General features: G+C 41.7%; 1 protein-coding gene across 2 annotated transcripts, besides 3 other annotated features; it reads right to left on the bottom strand.

Moving 5' to 3' along the window:
- Nucleotides 1–1,889: 1,889 nt before the first annotated feature.
- On the bottom strand, nt 1,890–21,039 carry ZNF613 (zinc finger protein 613). 2 transcript variants are annotated; one of them, NM_024840.4, is made up of 6 exons: nt 20,971–21,039; nt 20,517–20,616; nt 18,615–18,779; nt 8,176–8,302; nt 7,802–7,894; nt 1,890–4,392 (listed from the first exon to the last, which is right to left on the bottom strand). In NM_024840.4, the coding sequence occupies exons 4-6, from the start codon at nt 8,207–8,209 to the stop codon at nt 2,774–2,776; spliced, it is 1,746 nt and encodes a 581-aa protein (NP_079116.2). In that variant the 5' UTR covers nt 8,210–8,302; nt 18,615–18,779; nt 20,517–20,616; nt 20,971–21,039; the 3' UTR covers nt 1,890–2,773. The 2 variants fall into 2 exon arrangements, with proteins under 2 accessions (NP_079116.2, NP_001026891.2); NM_001031721.4 differs by lacking the exon at nt 20,517–20,616 and adding an exon at nt 12,276–12,483.
- Nucleotides 21,101–21,400: an enhancer, noted in NCBI's record as "active region_15030". NCBI's record gives its function as "activates an Ori minimal core promoter by ATAC-STARR-seq in GM12878 lymphoblastoid cells {active_cell/tissue: GM12878}" and the evidence as "EXISTENCE:reporter gene assay evidence [ECO:0000049][PMID:35858748]".
- Nucleotides 21,101–22,019: a biological region, named in NCBI's record as "NANOG-H3K27ac-H3K4me1 hESC enhancer GRCh37_chr19:52429745-52430508".
- Nucleotides 21,256–22,019: an enhancer, noted in NCBI's record as "NANOG-H3K27ac-H3K4me1 hESC enhancer chr19:52429745-52430508 (GRCh37/hg19 assembly coordinates)". NCBI's record gives its function as "activates a minimal SCP1, AML or CMV promoter by ChIP-STARR-seq in naive H9 embryonic stem cells {active_cell/tissue: H9 hESC(naive)}" and the evidence as "EXISTENCE:reporter gene assay evidence [ECO:0000049][PMID:30033119]".

Raw genomic sequence — 24,423 nt, 5'->3', positions numbered from 1 at the left:
AGAGTGTTAAATAACTAAAGAGGCCGGGTGCCATGGCTCAAACATGTAATCTCAGCAATTTGGGAGGCTAAGTCAGGAGGATCACTTATGCCCAGGAGTTGGAGACCAGCCTGGGAAATATAGTGAAACACTGCCTTTACAGAAAAAATACAAAAATACAAAAATTAGCAGAGTGTGGTGGCATGCACCTGTAGTCCCGGCCACTCTGGAGGCTGAGGTGGGAGGATGGCTTTAGCCCAGGAGGTCCAGACTTCAGTAAGCCATGATCAGGCCACTGCACTCCAGCCTGGGCGACAGAGCACGACCCTGTCTCAAACACAACAAAAACAAAAACAAACTTTAATTTTTTTAAATTACTAAATAATGCAGTTACCATTTGGCAAACCGCATGCTTAATAAATGTCGGCTACCATTTTTATGAAGGCATGGGGTGATGTGCCTTTTGAAAGAGGCAACCTGGAACTGAGTATCCAGTTAAATTTATTTAGCTGGGATGCCAACTTCTGAAAGGTGATTTCAACACCTGGTCCCAAGGACAGGCCTGGGAAGCCCAGTAGCGCACCCTGATTTATGTGTTCAGGGAGTAAGATGCTACGACTGCTATGATAGGATGTGCAGATTCACAAGGCAAGAAGTAGAGAGAATCTGAAGTCCAGGTTGAAGAAGAGTTCATTTCTTATACTCTTAACTGTAGAGCATCTGTACTGAATCCATCCTGTTACAGGCCACTACTTTATGTTTGTTCTTCAGTGTATCCTGTGTGTACAAGTGTCTACCACAGTGCAGATGCTCAAAAACTATTTGTTGTAATCACCCGATAACCCAGACTTCGGGTTTCCACTGTGAGGCAGCCACTTTATGGCAAATTTCCACTTTATTTTTCCTTGTGAGCAGGACTGTTTCTAACATGGATGTATCTTTATTAGATCAAGGGAAGGAACTCTGAGTATAGGAGAGGACAAGGGTCTTAACCCCAAGTGAGAAGGAATGATGAAGAGAAATCTTATGTTCCAATTCAGCATACCACAGAGGAGCCAGGATCTTTAAAACAGTAGCAGCTCTCCAAGGTGACAGGTCTGTAGATAAATTTAAGGGTTCTTATCCAAGATATCCAAAAGGATCTCACCTTTACCCATCTTACATGCTGTCCTTTATTTTTAGAGAATGAAGTTATTTTGTTCTTTTATTGGGCTTATTCTGTGAATCCTATTCCTTCTCTCTTCTGCCCCTCTTATGACAGAAATGAGTCTCTATTCAGATTTTTTTAAAGTTTTTTTTAGAATAATACTAATCCTTAGAAGTTCTTGCCAGTAGTTCCTTTCCTTCAATGGCAAAAGTAATTTTGATAATTGTCCACTGGGTTATTCATGCACCTTCATTCATCTTCCAAATCTACATATAATTAATTTCTATTTTGGTATCTGCTAGGGTATATACAATTGCCTACAAACTATCAAGGAATTTATAATTTAGGTAGAGAGAAGACATGAACACTTTTTAGAAAAGTATTCATATCCTGTTTTATGTAAGGAAAATTGAGTCCTTTCCCCTTCCCACTCCAAATATGTCCCTTGAATAAGAAATTATCAGGACAATTTGATCTTATATTGTATGTCTCTTTCAACTGATATAGGCATATGCATTTTTTAACTACAGCTGCTGGAGGGTAAAATAGCTACATGCATATAATCCAGCTTTTTAAAAATGCTGGCTTGCAATTTTGCTTTGTTTCCCACTGCCATCATCCACGGTTCCTAGATAAAGGAAATAGTTTCAGGTAAAGAAAATAGATCATTCAAACTATTCTGAATGGTGCTTATGCCAACAATAAGACAAACCACAGGGTTAGGATGAGGACTACCTTCTAAATTAAGAGCATGGCCAATTGGTTATTCACAAGTTTTGAACTTCATTCCTCTGGGGTGATTATTTATAAAGTTAAACACATCCAAACTTGTTGTGTTACATTATTAAATTAAATACATTTTTCCTTTTGAAGAGCTTCAGTAGTCTGAAATAACAAGTGAAGAAATTTGGAATCAAAGAAACACAAGAGCTAATCATATAATGATCTTGGTTGGGAATAGAAGACTCTTATCAAAAAAGGGGGAAGAGGTACATTGTGCTATAAATTTAACCAATGATGTGTAACACTGACAACCCCTTTTAATTAGTCATTGACATATCAACTAGTGATTCAAGGTATATTGTCCTAAAATACACATCCTGTATATTATCTGCCATATAATGATGTTAGATTTCTGATCGAAATCTCTAAAATACTCCTTTTCACAGGGCTTATTTGCTTCGTGTGTTCTTTCATATTTTGATGAAGATGTTCTAGTTACATTTTCATAGTTTTATTTCTATATGATTCCCTCTGAGGATAAGGCAGAATGTACCACTAGCAACCCTGCCACATTCATAGCCTTCAAAGGTCTTCCAAAAGTTTCTCTCCTGTGTAAACCCCCTGATACCTACTGGCGTACTGTTTCTGAACAAGGACTTTTCCATGATCATTATATTTCTACCAACTATAAGCTCACTGAAGATGTGATCTATGGTCACTGATGAGAAGATCTATCTTCCCATAAAAGAATTTCCCAGTCTCCACTTCATACTATTTTTCTCTGAGTATATGCTTATTAGCCATAAGGTTTTATTCAAGGGCTTTCCACCTTGAATATATCAGTTTGTTCCTCTGTGTTTTTTGTGACATATGATGTAATTGATCACTGAAAGCACTACCACATTCACTGCATTCATATGGTTTTTATTCTGTGCAAATTCTACTATCTGCTGAGACTGAACTTCTGGCAACAGGCTGGCTCACAATGGCTACTTTGCTCTCTGCTTGGAACGCACTGTTAGTTAATGAGGTCTGAGCTGCCACAGAAGGCATCTGCAGAGTCACCATGTTAACAGAGTCTTTATCCTGTATGAGATCACGTGTATGTGATAAGCTATGACTCTCTGAGCAAGGATTTTCCAATTTGACTGAACCTACACATTTCTCTCTTGCATGCAGCATTCCCTTATGATAAACAAGGCATGACAAGTGGGAGAAAGCTTTCCCACAATCAGAGCATCCATACGGTCTCTCCCCTGTATGAGTTCTCCGATGTCTGTTGAGACATGATTTATCTCTGAAAGCTTTCCCACAGTCACTGCATGTATAGGGTTTCTCTCCTGTGTGAATTCTCTGGTGGTTAATGAGACCTGACTTGTGTGAGCAGGATTTTCCACACTCAGTACATACAAAGGGTGTCTTTCCTGTGTGAAATCTCTGATGGGATATTAAACATGTCTTCTGGCTGAAGCCTTTCCCACATTCATTGCATACATAGGGTTTCTCTCCAGTGTGAGTACGTCGATGAATAAGGAGGTTGCCCTTTTGGATGAAGCCTTTTCCACATTCATTGCATATATAGGGTTTTTCTCCAGTATGAATTCGCTGATGTACAATGAGATTTCCCTTCTGAATGAAGCCTTTTCCACAATCACGGCATATATATGACTTCTCTCCTGTGTGAGCTTTCTGATGTGCATTGAGCTGTGATTTCCAGCGGAATGCTTTGTCACATTCAGTGCATTCATAGGGTTTCTCTCCTGTATGAGTTCTCTGGTGTTCAGTGAGCCTGGACCTTTTGGAGAAGGCCTTCCCACACAGGCTGCATCCATGTGGTTTCTCTCCTGTATGAACTCTCTGATGATTAATGAGCCGAGACTTCTTGATGAAGCCTTTTCCACAATCACTGCATATATATGACTTCTCTCCTGTATGAATTTTCTGGTGTGCATTGAGCTGTGATTTCCAGCGGAATGCTTTGTCACATTCAGTGCATTCATAGGGTTTCTCTCCTGTGTGGTTTCTCTGGTGTTCAGTGAGCCCGGACTTTCTGGAGAAGGCTTTCCCACATATACTGCATCCATGAGGTTTCTCCCCAGTGTGAACTCTCTGATGATAGATGAGGCGAGACTTCTTGAGGAAAGCCTTCCCACACTCAGTGCATACATGGGGTTTATCTATGTTTTGAGTTCGCTGATGCTTAATGAATTGTGAATTTGTATTCACAGAATTTCCACCTTCGGGGAAGTTCATTTCATTATGAAATTGTTCATGCTTGGCATGAAGGAAGGATTTCCCATCTCCATTAACCCCCACAGAATTCTTGATTTCATACCTTTTGTTCTGGTTGACTAAACTTAAATTTGATTTCAGTATTTTCCCATGTAAGTCAAATGTATCATGATTTTGCCTTAAAGGAAAATCACTTTTCCTCTGATGAATGATGTTTCCAAATGCATTATGTTTATGGCATTGTTCCACTCTCTTCAGACATCTTTGCTTTTGTGAGTGCATCTGTAGATGATTGTCAACTTTCTTGATTTCTAGGAAAGAAGAGAACAATAAATCTTTCCATGAGCATGGAATAGAACTATTTCACAAACAGTCTTGTACAGGCTGGCTCTACTGACCACACTATTTCCACTGTTTAAAAAACTCCAAGTAGATATGCCTATTGTCACTTGGACAAGAATAAACCATTATAATTTAAACAAAGAAAACAAAAAATAAAAGCAGTCAGTGTATAAACAAGGTAAATTTCTCAGGAAATGGCAAGTTAATTCCTGCTCGGACTCATGCCAGAAACCTTACTATCATCTTTCATTTGTATGTTTGTCTCACACCCTTTGTCTACTTCAGTAGTAAATTCCTTATGTCTTTTATAAATATACAGTAATCCCTCATCTATGGGCGATATGTTCCAAGACACCCCCCACACCATGGATGCCTGAAACTCTGAATCATACTTAACCCTATATCCATTATGTTTTTTCCTGTACAGTGCATACATACCTATAATAAAGTTTACAAACTAGGCACAGCAAGAGATTAACAATAACAAATAATAAAATAGAAGAATTATAACAATAGGCCAGCATCACACTCTTGAGCTTTGGAAGCATTATTAAGTAAAACAAAGGTTACTTGAACACAAGCACTGTGATACCTTGACAGTTGATCTGATAACCAAGATGGCTACTAAGTGACACAGGTGGGTAGGGTACACAGCATGCATATGCTGGACAAAAAATGATTCCTGTTCCAGGATGGAGCAAGATGGTGCAAGATTTCATGCTCCTTGGAATGGTGAGCAATGTAATTAAGAATTGTTTATTTCTAGAATTTCCCATTTAACATTTTCAGACCATAGTTGACCACAGGTAGCTGAAACTGTAGAAAGAGAAACTGTGGATAACAGGGGACTCCTGTATTCTGAAACTCACTAACACTCACCCCTTCTACCTAGATGGAAGAGAATCACTCTTTCTGGTACTATAGCAATAGCCTCCCAAGTGGACTTCAGGCTTCAACCTCTGCCTTCTCCTGTATACTTTCTACAAAGTAGTCAAAGTGATCCTTTTAAATATAAATGACATCATGTCACTCTTCTACTCAAAACTCCCTCATGTTTCCTCATCTCATAATTTTTTAAAAAATCAAGTCATGGCCGGATGCAGTGGCTCACGCCTGTAATCCCAGCACTTTGGGAGGCCGAGGCACGTGGATCATGAGGTCAGGAGATCAAGACCATCCTGGCCAACATGGTGAAACTCTGTCTCTACTAAAAATACAAAAAGTAGCCAGGAGCGGTGGCTTACGCCTGTAGTCCCAGCGACTTGGGAGGCTGAAGCAGGAGAATCGCTTGAACCAGGGAGGCAGAGGTTGCAGTGAGCTGAGATCACAGCACTGCACTCCAGCCTGGAGACAGAGAGAGACTCTGTGCCAAAAAAAAAAAAAAAAATCAAGTCATTAAAATGTCCTTGAAAGGTCATACATGACCTGTCTACCCCAAACTCCAGATCCCACCACACTGTCCTTACTTCCGTATTATCTCCGACCACTGCCCCTCTTGTTCACTCCTCTGTATTCACACAGGCTTCCTTGAAGTTCCTCAAACACACACCTGCCTTGGGCCTTTGGACCTGCTATTTTGTCTACTTGGAAGGTAATTCACCAGGGGGACGTATTCATGTCTGTCATACAGCTGCTCAAAGGCATCTGACCAAACAGCCATTCCCACTCCCGGCATCCCTCATTATACTTTGTTATTGGTCTTCCCAGCATTTTTCACCACAAGACATTTATCCATTTTGATTAATTTTGTGCCTCTTCCTTTTAGCAGGTAATCTCCAAGAAGAATTTTGTTGTTGTTATTGATGTTCACAGCTGTCAGGGCCCATATGTAATAGTCTATCAAAAAATATTTAAGGCAATGAAACAAGGAAAGTAAGGGACACACTGCGGAAACTACTTCAAATGTAGTGCTTTATATATAGTTGGCTTTGAATTTATGAAAAGGAAAAGGAAAACAAACTCTGTGTAGGCAAGATGATACCATATCATGGTGATTCAACTAGAATATCACCTGACAGATGAGAAATTTCCATCTTATATGACTGCTATGATTCACTGGGACTCAGTGCCATCAGACTATGGTAAGAACAGAAAAGCTTTAAGGGAATAAGTCCAGCAATATAATTTAAGAGAAACTAAATAATAGGCAGAATTAATGATTCCAAAAGGAAATTGAAGCAAAGCAGGCATGAGGTGTAGTAATCTGGTTTGGGTTGGAAAGAGAATGAGACTACTTCAAAAATCAATTGAAAGAGCAAAGACTTTAAATACGGTAGCTGAGGAGGCAGGGAAGTTTCAAGGTAACCCTGTGGTGGCCAGGATCGACTCAAGGAGTTGACATGCAAGTGGGTAAAAAATAGGTACAAACATGTAAGTTAGGAAATATTAAGGGAGATGTCAATCTGAGAATCTCCATAGAGAACAAGAACTTAAGTCATTAGAATGAAGGAAACTTTTAAAGGATATGAGAACAGAGCAAAATAAATGGGAAACAGAACCTCTGGAGGACCTCAGAGTGGGAGAAAAAAGAGAAGCTAAGGAAGCAAATATATGCAAAGCAACAGACCAGGTTACTAAGGGGGCACAGAGTCCAAGATAGGGTGGGAAGACCTTTGGAAAAAAAAAATCAACATTATCTAAAGGGGCAGAAAGGTATAGTGGTCAGGAGAGAGTGCTGATATCCAAGACCACTCTTTGGAGACAGACATGGAAGGAGGAATTTCATAGCAAGAGAAGTAGAAGGAACAGGTAGTGATGCTCTGATGGGGGAACAAGAAATGATGAGATTTGAGAATCCTAAAAAGGAAGAAACCTTGAGAAAAACAAATCAAACCTAGATTAAATAAAGAGTGATGAGGCCGGGTGTGGTGGCTCACACCTGTAATCCCAGCACTTTGGGAGGCCAAAGCAGGTGGATCACCAGAGGTCAGGAGTTTGAGACCATCTTGGTCAACTTGGTGAAACCCCGTCTCCACTGAAAATACAAAAAAATTAGCTGGGCGTAGTGGCGGGTGCCTGTGATCCCAGCTACTGGGAAGACAGAGGCAGGAGAATCGCTTGAACTGGGAGGTAGAGGATGCAGTGAGCCAAGATTGCACCACTGGGCTCTAGCCTGGGTGACAGAGTGAGACTCCATCTCAAAAAATAAATAAATAAAATAAAATAAATAAAAAATAAACAGTGATGAAATCCAAGACGCGATAACGAAGCAGATGTTCCTCTAAATACCCGAAGGAGAAAGAGCTTTTGTGTGGGGAGAGGGATACATGGAGGCTCTGTCCACACAGCCTCAGATGCCCTGACAGCTCAGACACTGCTGAACAACTATCATGTGACTTGCTCAGCCACCCTCCTTGCTGGCTCTCACCCTGAACTCACCTGGACAGATTTGGCTGTGGATTTCATTTTCTACTGTCCATGGCTCTCCTTGTTCCAACTTGAAGAGTGCATCTGGTTTGCTGGCTTGATACCCTGTTCATAGGAAATGATACACAACTTAGGCTCATTGAATTGAGCTGTGGTCTATCAACATGGGACCATGTTCTGTTTTAGGAACTATGTAATTTATGTGTCTGCAAAGCAAAGGGATTTTCCCTCTAAAGGGGGCACATTACACTCTTTTATCTGGGGCCAGAGAGGGTACAGAATCTACCACTTCAGAGCACCACAGGCCCTCCAGAGCTTTTGAAAGCTGAGAAAGCAAAGGCCTTTGACTGGGTACTCTCTGAGTGACACAGGGCAGCTGTCCTCACCCACTGACACGAGGTTGCTATAGTTCTCCAACATCACGTCTCGGTACAGGTCCTTCTGAGCAGGGCCGAGGAGCTGCCACTCCTCCCAAGTGAACTCCACAGCCACATCCTCCAGGGTCAGTGATTCCTGTAATAAGAGAGTCCTGCTTAATATGAAGTATTTCTCTCATTTATATGGAAGAAATGTGAAGAACATTGTTCTGCTCATTTTTACCAAATAGTCTGCATCTATATATCTAGGTGCTGTGATTTTTAAAAAAATACATTGTCATAGAGGCAAAAATCCATCTCCAAAATCTATCTATATTCAAAATCTATCTCTAGCAAAATATTCTGTAATTGTGTAATTATCTATCATTTAACAAATCAGAAGTTTCTATAAGAACCAATCATTTAATCCTCTTGCTAATCCTCTTTTTTTTTTTGAGCACCTATTTGCCAGGCACTAAATATATTTTAGCAATATCAGGATGAATAAAGCATACTTCTTTATTCATCATGAATCTTCAATGAATCTTCATGTGCGCTACCAGAATCAACCAGGAAGAAACCCCAAACACTACAAGATACTACATAATAAATAAGTATATTTTATATGTTAGGAGGAGTAAAAGACTCTTTCCAAAACATGTCCAAAGAACAAGAGACAATTAAGTATTATTACCCCCTACTGCTAAATGTGACTGGCTTACAAAATAAATAAATAGGCCAGGCATGGTGGCTCACACCTGTAATCCCAGCACTTTGGGAGGCCTAGGCGGGCGGATCACCTGAGGTCAGGAGTTTGAGACCAGCTTGCCCAACATGGTGAAATCCCTATCTTTACTAAAAATACAAAAATTAGCCAGGCATGGTGGTGCATGCCTGTAATCCCAGCTACTCGGGAGACTGAGGCAGGAGAATCACTTGAACCCAGGAGGCAAAGGTTGCAGTGAGCCAAGATCATGCTACTGTACTCCAGCCTGAGTGACAGAGCGAGACTTCATCTCAAAATAAATACATAAATAAAAATAAAATAAATAAATAAATAATAAAAAAGAAAATACAAAATATTATTCAAAAACCATACACACACATATGGGTTTTGAAGTATTTATATTTATGTTATCAGGCGTGTAAGCAGCATAACTGAAGAGATAGTCAATGAACTGGTAAGTAGATCTGAAAAAACTACCAAAAATGCAACAAAAGGACAGAATGATGCAATATATAAAAGACCAGATTAATAAATACAGAGGATAGGTAAGGTCTAGCATGTACCAATTTAGTTTGTGAAAGAGAAAATACAATAATGGAAAGGTACTATCCAAAGATCTAAGGGCTAAGGCAGATACGTCTGTAAATATATATACATATATATACATACATACAAATATATGCAAACATGTATACATGTATATTTATTTATTCATGTGTCATTTAATAACAAGGATACATTCTGAGAAATGCATCATTAGGCAATTCTGTTGTTCATCCATCACAGAGTGCACTTACTTAAACCTAGATGATACAGCCTACTACATGCCCAGGCTCTACGGTATAGCCTATTGCTCCCAGACTATAAACCTATACAGCATATTGCACATATATATATATATATATATATATATCCATGTACATTTATATACTTACTTTTTTTAACGTATTAAAGGATGAGGGTGTAAGAACTGGCTTTGAACATGGAAAAAGAATGTGCACAATCTTACACAGGGGGATGTTGTAAAGCAAACCCTCTGGATCCCAACAACCCATTCCCTTACCAGACAACAGTACTTTCAACTCCCTACTGCCAATCCTGTCTCAAACAGTAAGTCAGCCACCTGTTCATACAGAGAACCTTAGAAAGTCATGCAATCCCAGCCTGGGCAACATGGCAAAACCCCATCTCTACAAAAAATACAACCATCAGCTGGATGTGGTGGCACATGCCTAGCTACTTGAGGGGCTGAAGCAGAAGGATCTCTTGAGCCCAGGAAATCGAGGTTGCAGTGAGCCATGTTCACACCACTGCACTCCAGCCTGGGTGACAATGTGAAACTCAAAAGAAAAGAAAAAGAAGAAAAATGAAAAAAAAATTTAGAAAAAGAATAAAAAAAGAAAGTTGTGCAATCTTTCCATTTTCCTCAGCCTTTCAGGTTTTATTCCTGGATGACCCTACCAGCCATAAGACTGGGTCCTTGGGTAACCTTGCCTTGGACCCCTGAACTGTGTCCTCTGAGTTCCTTTGGCCTCTTCCCAAAAAGGTCTCTGAGGACCTGTGCTTTGGCATGTATGAGAAGGCTGGGCTTATGGCATTTATATTCGGGGCCAGGCGTGGTGGCTCATGCCTGTAATCTCAACACTTTGGGAGGCCGAGGTGGGAGGATCATTTGAGGTCAGGAGTTCAAGACCAGCCTGGCCAACATGGTGAAACCCTGTCTCTACTAAAAATACAAAAATTAGCCGGGCAGTCGTAGTGCATGCCTGTAATCTCAGCTACTCGGGAGGCTGAGGCAGGAGAATCACTTCAGCCTGGGAGGCAGAGGTTGTGGTAGGCCAAGATGGCACTACTGCACTCCAATCTGGATGACAGAGTGAGACTCTATCTCAAAAAAAAAAAAAAAAAAAAAAGAAAAAAGACATCATCTGTCACACCACCTCTAGGAAGAACCATCTAAAAACTGTCCTGGGACCTAAGTGCATTTAATAGTGACACCTCTCGGGAACTGGTCTGCTTTCTCCTGAGAGTCAGTGCATATCCTGTGACCAAGGACTCTCTGGATGTGATGACAGTCAGAGACATTAGACAGAAGGTGACAGCTACTATAACCCACAGGATGCTCCGGTCACACATTAGGTTCCAACATTAGTCATTTTGTGTGAATTCCATTGTGCTGTTTTTACTCACATTTCTGACACCAAATGTGTGGGTTTTTGCTCACATCAACCAATTCTCCAATTCTCTAACACCCAATAGGTGTCCAACGATTAGATTCAATTCTGACACCAACTCCTGGAAGACCCATAGGTTAAGGTTTCAATCCCACAAGACCAACCTCACTTCAGACACCAGTCACAAGTGTGAGGTCCCCAGGTTACAAAGACTTTTGTCCCTTGGCTACAAATGTGGGGATTTCTGCAACCCACCTTGAGGTTCAATAATCTACTAGAACAACTCACAGAGCTCAGGAAAGCACTTTACTATTACTGGTTTATTTACAACCCAGGAATAACCCAATGGAAAAGCTGCACAGGGCACAGTATGGTGGTGTATGGGCATAAATTTCCATGCTCTCTCTGCACACACCAACCTCCCAGCACCTCAATGTGTTTACCAACCCAGCTCTCCAAACCCTGCTGTTTAGGGGTTTTTATGTTACACAGGCATGGTTGAATAAATCATTGGCCACTGGTGACTGAACTCAATCTCCAGCCTCTCTCTGCTCCCTGGAGATTAGAGGTAGTACTGAAAGTTCCAAGCTTCTAATCAAGGCTTGTTATTTCTGGCAACCAGCCTCCATACTGAAGCTACCTAGGGGTCCACTGAGAGTAGTTTCACTACAAAAAAAGAGGACCAGGCATAGTGGCTCACAACTGTAGTCCCAGAACTTTGGGAGGCCAAGGGAGACAGATTGCTTCAGCTCAGGAGTTAGAGACCAGCCTGTGCAACATGGTGAAACCCCATCTCTACAAAAAAATACAAAAAGTTAGCTGGGCCTGGTGGCACACACTCCCAGCTAGTTAGGAGGCTGAGATGGGATGATCGCTTGAGCCCAGGAGGCCGAGGTTGCAGTGAGCCAAGATTGCACCACTGCACTCCAGCCTGGGTGACAAAGTGAGACCCTGTCTCAAACAAAAAAAAGACCCTTATCATTCAGGAAATTCCAAGGGTTTTAGGAGCTCTATGCCAGACAAAGACCAAGTATCTTTCTATGATACCACATGTAAACAATATAGTCCTGATCCTACTTTGCCTAGATGTTGAAATTACAATCTAAATTTACTGATGCACAAATCCTAGTTTACCAAATTATACTTTTTGACTTAATTCAACTGACTTTTAAAGTCTTCCAGAAATCAATCATGTGATGAAGGAAAGACTAAAACAAACAAAAAGTCACCTGGGACTTGATCATTTTCTTTTGTTACTGGGAAATAGCCAGTAAGTAGGATGCTGTGTCTGTAGTCTCTCCTTGAGCTGCCCTCAATTTCTGGCTAGAAATCTTGGTCTCTGGTGAATTACATCCCTGCAAAGGATGGTATCCAGGTCCTGGAACCTCCTCCTCACCTCACTTGAAGTGTCTTGCTCCTGAAGTCAGGACCTGTGGGCTGAAGAGTAAATTGATTTGAGTGTACATTCCCTGCAGGCCCAGGTGCTGTCACTGCTGCTGTGTTCTCACCTTAATGCAAGGCCATCTCTAACTGTCCCTTTATTTGGGGCCCCAGAAGTTTTAACCCACCCTGGGGCAACAACAAATCCTGGAGCAACAAAACATAAGATTCTACAGGTATGGCCAATACATTTACAAACTGTCTTTCTTCTGTGAAATGTAAGTGAGGTGACTGTGAGAGGGGAGATGGGAAAGGAGAACCAGCACCAACATGATGCTGCAACACCAAGAAACTTCTTAGATCAGGTTTTAGAAAAAGGACAGAGAAGGTGAGGAATTGGATATTTATTTCTTTAAAACCACGTGTGTCCACATGCCTGGTCAAAAGTCATCATACACCTCACATGTAGGCATGCCTCAGTTTGAAGACAAATGTATTAAGCCAAGCAGAGGGGTTGTTGTATTTGAATTCTCATTACTACCTTCTGCGTTACATCCTTATAAAGTATCAATCATTATTTCCCATTCCAACATTGACCTAAGGCTTACAGATTTGACTATATTGTCCAAAAGCAGAAGTAGAATCTGAACCCACACAGCCTGTCTCCAAGAACATGACCTTAGCCTCTGCTGAATACCTTTGGACTGCATACCATCATCATACATCTTAGCTCTCTTTGCTACTACCTTGAGGGAGTTTCATTCATCATGGAAGATGGCCACTGTCATAGACATATAATCTGACCTTCTGAAATCAGCACTGCCAACAGTGACACAGGCACAAAGACAAATGGAAAAACTGCACGCTACACCCTTGGCCTGAAAGCAGCAGGTCAGAGAGTGGCGGCCCCAGAGGCTTTTTTTATGCCCAATTCTAAAACTCAAGTAAGAGGCTCACATGGTGAGAGCATCAACTGGATGGAGTCACCCTAAGCTTTCCTTCCACCTGGGTGGAATCATTGTGACAAGCTCCCGGTGGCCCTCCTGCATGCTCCAAACCCACAGGGTCTGCACTGACTCATCCTTTAACCCACAGCTGCAAATGCTCCCCTTCCCTCTGCAATCTCAGAAGCACGTAATTGTGGCAAGAGATGTTTCACACTTTTCTTCTTAGAACGCCACTAGTGGAAAGGTGCAGAACCCAAATGATCTAACATTCCTGGGCAGGAGGTGGTGGATGCAACATTTCAGTGACATCCAGGGTGTGTATTTCAAACAGCAAGGCTTCCTTTCCCATGAGCTTCCACAGCCCCTTTCCCAGGAATAGCTGAAGAGCTTCTACTTCATTTTTGACCCTTATGAGCTTTCTGGAGAATGTAATCACGCCTGTTTGCTCCAGTGGCTAAGTCCTTTCCCTGGAGGAGTATATTTCCTGAAAACTCATGTATGTATAGGAAGCCATAAAGAAAATTTCCATAAATTCTAAAGCATCACTACCAAACAGGACGTGTTCACAAATCATCATCATATGAAAGAAACAACAAAGAAAAGTATATTTAAAAAATTAAAAAACATAAAATAAGACTATGTATTATTTTTCAATATGTACACATTTAATAAAACATGCATTATATGAAATTAGTTCAAGGGAATAGTTATCCCTAGGGATGGAGGAGAGGAAAGGGGGTGGATTAGAGGATATCACTGAAGGTGCACTTGCATCAGTTTATTTCTTTTTTAAAAGTACCAACAACAAAAAAAACAAAAGCATATATACTGTGGAGGAAAATCTCATTGAGTAAAAATGGCAGAGTAGGTAGGTCCAAGGGTCCGTCCCTCTATCGAAAAATCAAAAACTCAAGTAAAAAAACTATCAAAAAATCAAGTAAAAACAATCAAAAAACAAAAACTTGGTCAGAACTCTGAAAAATAGTCAAAGGTTTACAACAACAGAACAAATATTGAGTCAAAAAAAAGGTGACTGGCCGGGCATGGTGGCTCATGCTTGCCTATAATCCCAGCACTTTGGGAGGCTGAGGCCAGAGGATCACTTGAGGCCAGAAGTTCAAGACCAGCCAGGCCAACATGGTGAAACCCCATCTCTACTAAAACTACAAAAAGTAGCCAGGTGTGGTGGCACATGTCTGTAGTCCCAGCTACTCAAGAGGCTGAGGCAGGAGAATCATTTGAACCTGGCAGGTGGAGGTTGCAGTGAGCTGAGATCACACCACTGCACTCCAGTCTGGGTGACAGAGCTAGACTCCATCTCAAAGAAACAAAACAAACAAGAACAACAACAACAAAATGGTGACTTAAAAATAGTAGGAAAGTTCTGTGCCATTTTTATCTGTCTTTGCTCCACCCCCTCCCCAGCTCAGTGATGGTCTTAAAGATTGTGGCCAACATTCCCAACGTGGGAACCTGGATTCAGGCCCTGGAGGGAACAGAATAGACTTTATTCACAAATAATTTTGTTTAGCTGAGTGCAGTGGCTCATGCCTGTAATACCAGCACTTTGGGAGGCTGAGGTGGGAGGATCACTTGAGCCCAGGAGTTTGAGTCTGTGGTGAGCCATGATCTCGTCACTGTACTCCAGCCTAGGTGACAGAGTGAGACCCTGTCTCAAAAATAAAAATAAAAAAATTGTTTGTTGTCTATTCTAACTACCTGAAGGACCTATGCAACAGGCCCCTTCCTGTTTTGGAATTCACTCAGGGAGGAAAAGTAATGGGCATTTCTCAAACACTTTGTGAAGCAGAACAACAACCTTCAGCTGCCTGGGGCAAAAGATTACACTTGAGTCACAGAGGAAAGGTTGTGAGAAAAAGGTAGGAGGAAAGTGTCTTGAGGAAATTATACCATTCAAAAGCACTCGTATAGACTGAGGAATATATAAAAGCCACACGCATGCACAGGGGAGGATGTTGGCTGAGAAAAGACCTAAGAAGACTCTAAAACGTTCCTTCTGGCTGATGTCTACAGGTTCAGTGCAAGCAGGAAGTGAACGGTAAGGCAGGTTTATAGATTCCCTGGCTAATCATTAAAGGAGTAGCCCAGCACACAATCCACAACCACAAAAACATTATGCTAAGTGAAAATGTCAGACACTCAGGCGTGGTGGCTCACACCTGTAATCCTAGCACTTTGGGAGGCCAAGGCAGGAGGATTGCTTTGAGCTCAAGATAAACTCTTGACCAGCCAGGGCAACATGAGGAAACCCCATCTCTACAAAAAGTTCAAAAATTAGCCAGGCATGGTGGTGCATGCCTATAATCCCAGCTGTTAGGGTGGCTGAGGTATGAGAATTGCTTGAGCCCAGGAGGCAGAGTTTGCAGTGAGCCAAGAGTGTGCCAATGCGCTCCAGCCTGGGCAATAGAGTGAGACCCTGTCTCAAAAAAAAAAAGAAAATGTCAGACACTAAATGTCACGTTATATGATTTCATTTATATAAAATACCCAGATTAGGTAAATGCATACAGACAGCACACTGGCCTGGTGCGGTGGCTCACGCCTGTAATCCCAGGACTTTGGGAGGCCGAGGCGGGCAGATCACCTGAGATCGGGAGTTCGAGACTAGCCCGACCAACATGGAGAAACCCGGTCTCTACAAAAAATACAAAATTAGCCAGGCATGGTGGCGCATGCCCGTAATCCTAGCAGAGGCAGGAGAATTGCTTGAACCCGGGAGGCAGAGGCTGCAGTGAGCTGAGATCAAGCCATTGCACTCTAGCCAGGGCAACAAGAGTGAAACTCTGTCTCAAAAAAAAAAAAAAAAAAAAAAAAGATGTTGGGAGCCGAAAAGGCCAAAGGGATCGTGACCAACTCAGCATTCCACTGGAGAGTACATGATCAAACAGCAAACTGTTTATCACGAGTACAGAATGTGGGCAAACTCGCTTCTGTACCTGCCCCAGCTTTGCTGAGGGCCACCATTCCCTGGCGCTGGGCTCCTGGAGGCTATCTATGGGGACATCTAGAGGCTATTGCTCAAGGAATGCAATCTCACAAGCCTGCTGTGAACCAAAAGGCCGACTGACAATTACTCGACAATCACCCCCCCTTCTCTCTATCTCTTTTGCCTAATAAATACGGAGAGCTGTGTAAAGCTCAGAGCCCTTATCCACTAGAGGCAAGGTGCCCCCTGACCCCTTCTTCCAAATATACTCTTTTGTTTTTGTCTTTTATTCCCTCGTTTGCCCCGCTTTGTTCAGTCTACCAGGAATCATGGTCAGTTACAACTGGCGCCCCAAACAGCGACAGAATCGGGCACTCTACAAAAAGAGACGGAAAGCACATAGTTGGTTGCCAGGGTCTACTGGAGGGGAGAATGTGAAGTGGCTGCAAGTGGTGGTTGTACAACACTGTGACTGTACTAAGAACGATTGCACTGTTGACTTTAAAATGATTAATTTTATGTCTTGTGAATTTTACCTCATTTTAAAAAATTAAATACATCCTACAGAAGTTCTAGGAATGAAGAAAAAAAAGTTCTATGAAACTATAAAAGTACATTCTCTAAAGTCAAGAGCAATATCGAAGATGAACAGGATGATTATCACTATTTTAACTATTCTGGAAAGGCTACCCAGTTAGTTTGATAAAGAATCAAGTATAAATAATCAATATTAGAGAAGAGGAAATAAATTATATGACTAAGGAAGAGTGACAGTTTTATAGATTCAATTGAACATATACAAAAAATAAGTTTTTAGTCAGATTGATGATTTTATATCTAAAAGTTGCAAGCATTCCAAAATAGACATACTTTTTTATCAGTATTAAGTGACTAAACAATTTTGGAAATAACACTTTGCATTGAATACTTCCATTTGAGATATTACTAGAACCCAAAAATCCACCTTGGAAATTTTTGTAAAGGAAATAGCGACACATGCATGCAAAGTTGACGTAAAGGATTTAGGTCTATTAACAGGATTAACTGGCTGATTAGAAGTACACACATCCAGAAATGGAGCTATCTAGCTATTAAAAATACTAACAATTCCATATTTAGTAAAAATACATGTACCTCAGTTATGTATATCATAAGTACATGAAAAATGGCTCAACATAAGTCTCCAGAGAAATGCAAATCAAAACCATGAGAAACCACCTAACACCCACTAGAATGCCTGTAATAAAAAACTAAAAATAACAAGTGTTGGTAGGTACATGGTGGCAATGGACACCCTCAAATATCGCTGGCGGAAATGTTAAATGGTGCAGCCACTTTGGAAAAGTCTGGTAGTCCCTCAAATGGCTAAACATACCATATAACCCAACAACTCCATTTCTAGGCTTATATATAAGAGAAATAAAAACAATAAAAACTTACACACAAATGTTTATAGCATATTATTTATAATAGCCAAAAAGGGGAAATAACCCAAAAGTCCATCAACTGATGAAAGGATAAATACAAGATGCCATATCCATACCATGAAATACTATTCTGGCATAAAAAAGAATGAAGTACAGATACATGCTACGACACAGACAAACCTTGAAAACATTATACTATGTTGGCTGGGCGCAGTGGCTCACGCCTGTAATCTCAGCACTTTGGGAGGCTGAGGTGGGCGGATCAGCTGAGGTCAGGAGTTTGAGACCAGCCTGGCCAACGTGGCAAAACCCCGTCTCTACCAAAAATACAAAAATTAGCCATGCATGGTAGCAGGCACCTGTAATCTCAGCTACTTGGGAGGCTGAGGCAGGAGAATCACTTGAACTTGGGAGGTGGTGGTTGCAGTGAGCTGAGATCACGCCACTGCATTCTAGCCTGGGTGACAGAGTAAGACTCTGTCTCAAAAAAAAAAAAATTATGCTATGTGAAAGAAACCAGTCACAAAAGATCACATATTATATTGTAGCGTTTACATGAAATGAAATAAGAGTAAATTAGAAGAAAACAGAAAGGTCAAAATAAGCAAATCTATAGAGACAGAAAGTAGATTAGAGATTACTTAGTGGTAGGGCATAGGGAGTGGTAACAAAAGGGTACAGGGTTTCTTTTTAAGTGATGAAAATGTTCTAAAGTTGACTTTGGTGATGGCCGCACATAGTAAAAGCCACTGAATTATACAGTATGGGACTAATAGACCTGTAATTAGGAAAAGCTGTCAGTAGAACTTAATTATGATAAACCTACTGAAATATTCAGGGGCAAATGTATGAATGTCTGCAACTTACTTTGAAATGCACCAAAAAACAAAGCAATATTTTACAAGATGGATAAATGTGGCTGGGTGAAGTGGCTCACACCTGGAATCCCAGCACTTTAGGAGGCCAAGGAGAGAGGATCACTTGAGGTCAGGAGTTCAAGATCAGCCTGGGCAACATAGTGAGATGCCATCTCTATAAAAAGAAAAAAAGGTGGATTAATGATGAGTAGAAGGATGATATATAGATAGATATGTAATAAAAGAAACACAATAAAATGATGATAAAATCCAGATGGTAGGCAAACAGGTATTCAATTGTAAAGTTCTTTAAATCATGTTATATGTTTGAAAGTTTTTGTAACCTGGAGAACAGGGAAGTTTGTTCAGTAAGGTGACCAAAAACAATGTAAATATTTTCTAAACTAATTGCTCTTCTATGTAAGAGTAAATTAGAAGAGAACAGAAAGGTCAAAATTAAAAACACACCATTTACAATTGCAAAAAAATTAAAAACTAAGGTGCTGATGAGGGTCAGGGAGAAACATGTTTGGGTAAACATAGAATTGTAACCCATTCTTAAAAGTGATAAGTGAACTTTTTAAGTCTTAAAATTCTATCTAAATATATCCATACACTTAGTGATTCAAGTCACAGTGGTGCAGTTTTGCCTCTTGATGGTATACTATTACAGAAATCTTAAAAAAAAATTTTTAAACAAAAACATGGATGATATGTTTACTATAAGAACGTTCATAATGTAAAATTAAATACGGCAAATTATACCAATGTTTCAGCAGCTTATCTGCATTGTGAAAATCAAGCATAGAAAACTGAAATTGAAATATACAAAAATCTTATCAAAAGTCATTACTGGGGAACACATTTTGGGATAAGAGAGATGTTTTACTTGTGTCAGAACCTGAAAGAAAATATTTACGTGTGTGTATACACACATTCACACAGTAAACCTGAGGAAGAAGAACGAAAATCTTTAATAGAAACCTTATCATTTTCTTCGTTTTGTTTTTTCCTTTTTCTTTTCTCCTTTTCTTTTCTTTTTTTTTTTTTTTTGAGGCAGGGTCTCACTCTGTTGCCCAGGCTGGAGTGCAGTGCTCAATCATAGTTCACTGCAGCCTAGAACTCCCGGGGTCACGTGATCGTCCCACCTCAGCCTCCCGAGTAGCTGAGACTACAGGCGTGTGTTACCACACCCAGTTAATATTTGTATTTTTTGGAGAGACAGGCTATGTTGTTCAGGCTGATCTCCAACTTCTAGGCTCGAGCAATTCGCCCACTTTGGCCTCCCAAATGCTGGGAATATAGGCGTGAGCCACCGCGCCAGGCCACCTTACCATTTTAGATTTGATTAATCTTTGATCTTCCCCAAAGCTTTCCTATTTACCAGGATGAGAGAAAGGAGAGATGTGAGAAGTCAAATGAGATTTGTAAACCAGTCCTTGCAGAGAAACTTAAAAGGGACTGAGAGGGAATGTACCGTTGGACCTGAACACACACACCAATCAGGATGCCCTGGCTGCCAAGGCTTCAGCCTTCACAAGCTTCTCCACGACTGTCACATCTAGACCTCCCTAACATGGTCACACCCCCTTAGATTAATCCAAAAACCTGGACCACACACCTAGGTTCACATGAACCCGGGCTCCTCCTCACTGAGTCGCATATTAAATCCTGATTACAGCCTGGAGCGAAGGCTCACGCCCGTAATCCCAGCACTTTGGGAGGCCAAGGTGAGAGGATCGTTTGAGGCCAGGAGTTGGAGACCAGCCTGGGCAACATAGTGAGACCCCCGTCTCTGCAATAAACAGATAGATTAGATAGATAAATTAGATAGATAGATAGATAGATAGATAGATTAGATTAGACAGATTAGATAGATAGATAGATAGATAGATAGCGTGGTGGCGCTCACCTGTAGTCCCAGCTACTCGGGAAAGCTGAGGTGGGAAAATCACCTGAGCCCCGGGAGATGGAGGCTGCAGTGAGCCACGATTGCGCCACTGCACTCAAGCCTGTGTGACAGAGCGAGACCCTGTCTCAAAAATAAAAAATAAAACCCCGAATCCGAAGCAGACACAGTTTTCCTTGACAAAAACCACTCCTCACTCCAGTCCTCAATCACCGAGCCCTACAGAGTGACCCGCAAAGGCACCAAACCCTGATCACGGACTTCCAAGTGTTGCTCTGGACAGACTCTGACCACCGACCACTGGGATCCCTCAGGGCTGACTCCGGAGACGCCCCAACCCCAATACCCCGACTCCCACTTGCTCCCGCTTCCCCCACAAACTCCACGGCTCCGCACTAAACGGACGCCCACAGACACCCTCCTCCCCTCATCCTGACAGACAGACCCACACACAGACCTGATTTTGCGGGGAACCCACCGAGACTTCCCAGAACCTGCACTTTCCTGAATTATTCCACTTCTGGGCCCTCCCCCAGCCTCCAAGCCGGCCTACGGCGGCCGAGGAAGGTCTGAAGTTGCAGGTGTACGGAGCACGGACGACTGGGAGGTAGTAAGTTCGCGTCCTCTCGTCACGGATACTGGAGGCAGCCATCTTTGAATCCTGCACGTACGGAAGGTAAAGTGGACCTTTTCTGCCCAAGTATTCAGGGATAGCGCGGGACGGTGAAGAACTCCATATTTTGGCACCTAAATCCTGCGCCCAAGTTTCATTTATTTTCAGAGGGTCGAGCTTAGCCAAGACAAACATGGTATGGCTACGTGCACCTTAGCGGGCTGGGGAGAAAAGTCATCCGCTTTGCACAAAGAATGACGGGAATGACACAATGGGCGCGGCCATCTTAACACTTAGGTGTCCGTACAAGTGAAAACGCTTTCTCCACAGAGGAAAAAGAGCAATCGCACCCTGAGTCATATACCGCGAAAACGCATCTAGCTACATGTGGAGGACAAGAGGAAGATTTTTGAGGACCAAAAGGGTGTGGAGAGGCAATCGAGGTACGAGGATATTGTTCACCCCGTCAACGGAAAGTGAAAAAACAGCGACCCCTGGAACCTCATTTACATTTGAGGGACACGGTCACCGCCCAGTGCAGGTAAAGAGAGCAGCCACCAGCCAACCGGAAAAGGAATCCAATGCGGGAGGCGGGAATTTTCCTTAAGAGAGAAGAAGGGCCTTCCCTCTGCTGTAGGTGGAGTCAATCTTAACGTCGGGGCTTTCGGAGAACCAAGTGCCTAAAATTCTGGAAGGAATAAATAAGGCGACTCTGGGAGAATGAAAAGTTGTGCAAGCCCGGGCGCGATGGCGCACACGTGTAGTCCCAGCTACTGGGGAGACCAAGGCAGGAAGATCGCTTGAGCCCAGGAGTTCCAGGCTGCAGTGAGCTATGATCGCACCTATCAATAGCCACTGCACTACACAGCCTTGGCAACCCCTTCATGAGGAAAAAAAGAAAAAAGAAAAAAAAAAGTTGTGCAAGAAAAGTAATCATAGGATACTACCTGACTGACCTATAAATATTATTTACATAGTCATCATAACGTAAATTCTAATTCTGATCCAACCTAAATTAAGACAATTCCATTGGAAGAATGAGAAGGAAATTCCTGCATGCAGTGGAGTGTTTATATTTATAACAGAGTTTTCACGTGTCCTTCATGATACATCTATAGAAAATGCCCCAAAATGCAAACTCCATTTCAGAAACATACCGTGTTACTTAAAATATCAAATCTGTGAAGAGTGAAAAGCTTTACAGAACTATATGACTCCTTAGGAGAATTGCAAAATAAAAGCAAGAATCTTATGACTCAGGAATTCCACTCCTAGATACTTATACAACAGTAATGAAATGATATGTCCTCACAAAGACTCACAAGAATGTTCTTAGCACCTTTATGCATAATACCCTGAACAGGAAACAGTCCAAGTGTCCATCAGTACATGAATGTATAAGCAAATTGCAGTGTAATCATACCCTGGAATACTACTGAACAATAATAAAAAACAAATCATAGATGCATGCACCAACATAGATAAATCTCAACAACCTTATGAAGGGGGCCAGCCTCTCCACACCTGTGGGTATTTCTCATCTGGTGGGATGAGAGACTGAGAAAAGAAATAAGACACACTGACAAAGTATAGAGAAAGAACAGTGGGCCCAGGGGACCAGCACTCAGCATACGAAGGACTCCTGCCAGCACTGGTCTCTGAGTTTCCTCAGTATTCATTGATCACTATCTCTACCATCTCGGTGAGGGGGATGTGGCAGGACTATAGGGTAATGGTGGGGAGAGGGTCAGCAGGAAAATATGTGAACAAAGTTCTCTGTGTCATAAATAAGGAAAGGTGCTGTGCCTTGATGTGCACGTAGGCCAGATTTATGTTTGACTTTACACAAGCATCTCAGTGTAGTATAGAGCAGTATTGCTGCCAGCATGTCTCACCTCCAGCCATAAGGCAGTTTTCTCCTATCTCAGTAAATAGAATGTACAATTGGGTTTTAAACTGAGACATTCCATTCCCAGGGATGAGCAGGAGACAGATGCCCTCTTCTTATCTTAACTGCAAAGAGGCCTTCCTCTTTTACTAATCTTCCTAGGCACAGACTCTTTATGGGTGTTGTGTTGGGGGATAGTCAGGTCTTTCCCTTCCCATGAGTCCATATCTCAGGCTGTCTCAGCAGGGAGAAACTTTGGACAATACCCAGGCTTTCTTGGGCAGAGGTCCTTGTGGCCTTCTGCAATGCATTGTGTCCCTGGGTACTCGAGACTGGAGAATGGTGATGACTTTTACCAAGCATACTGCCTGCAAACACTTTTTAACAAAGCACAGCCTGCACAGCCCTAAATCCATTAGACCTTGGACATGAGTCGACACAGCACATGTTTCTGTGAGCACAGGGTTGGGGCTAGGGTTACAGATTAACAGCATCTCAAGGCAGAAGAATTTTTCTTAGTACAGAACAAAATGGAGTTTCTTATGTCTACTTCTTTCTACATAGACACAGTAGCAGTCTGATCTATCTTTCTTTCCCCTACACTGGTAACATAGTCATGTATATCATTAACAAGAATTACATACTATCCATATTTTATGTGTTGTATTTTATATGACTGGAAGAGCAGTAGGTTTGTCTACACCAGCATCATCACTGACAACTGAGTAACACATGCTACTACCTTGAGATGGCTACCACGTCTCTAGATGGCAGGAATTTTTCAGCTCCATTATAATCTTTTTTTTTAATATATACTTTAAGTTCTGGGGTACATGTGCAGAACGTGCAGTTTTGTTACATAGGTATACATGTGCCATGGTGTTTTGCTGCACCCATCAACCCATCACCAACATTAGGTATTTCTCCTAATGCTATCCCTTCCCTAGCCCCACAACCCCCAACAGGCCCCGGTGTGTGATGTTCCCCTCCCTTTGTCCATATGTTCTCACTGTTCAACTGCCACTTATGAGTAAGAACATGTGCTGTTTGGTTTTCTGTTCCTGTGTTAGTTTGCTGAGAGTGATGGTTTCCAGCTTCATCCATGTCCCTGCAAAGGACATGAACTCATCCTTTTTTATGGCTGCATAGTATTCCATGGTGTATATGTGCCACATTTTCTTTATCCAGTCTATCATTGATGGGCATTTGGGTTGGTTCCAAGTCTTTGCTATTGTGAACAGTGCTGCAATAAACATATGTGTGCATGAGTCTTTATAGTAGAATGATTCGTAATCCTTTGGGTATATACCCAGTAATGGGATTGCTGGGTCAAATGGTATTTCTAGTTCTAGATCCTTGAGGAATTGCTACACTGTCTTCCACATGGTTGAACTAATTTACACTCCCAC

This window comes from Homo sapiens, chromosome 19, assembly GCF_000001405.40.
Source record: "Homo sapiens chromosome 19, GRCh38.p14 Primary Assembly".
NCBI lineage: Eukaryota > Metazoa > Chordata > Mammalia > Primates > Hominidae > Homo > Homo sapiens.
This window is presented reverse-complemented; position numbering and strand designations above follow the sequence as displayed.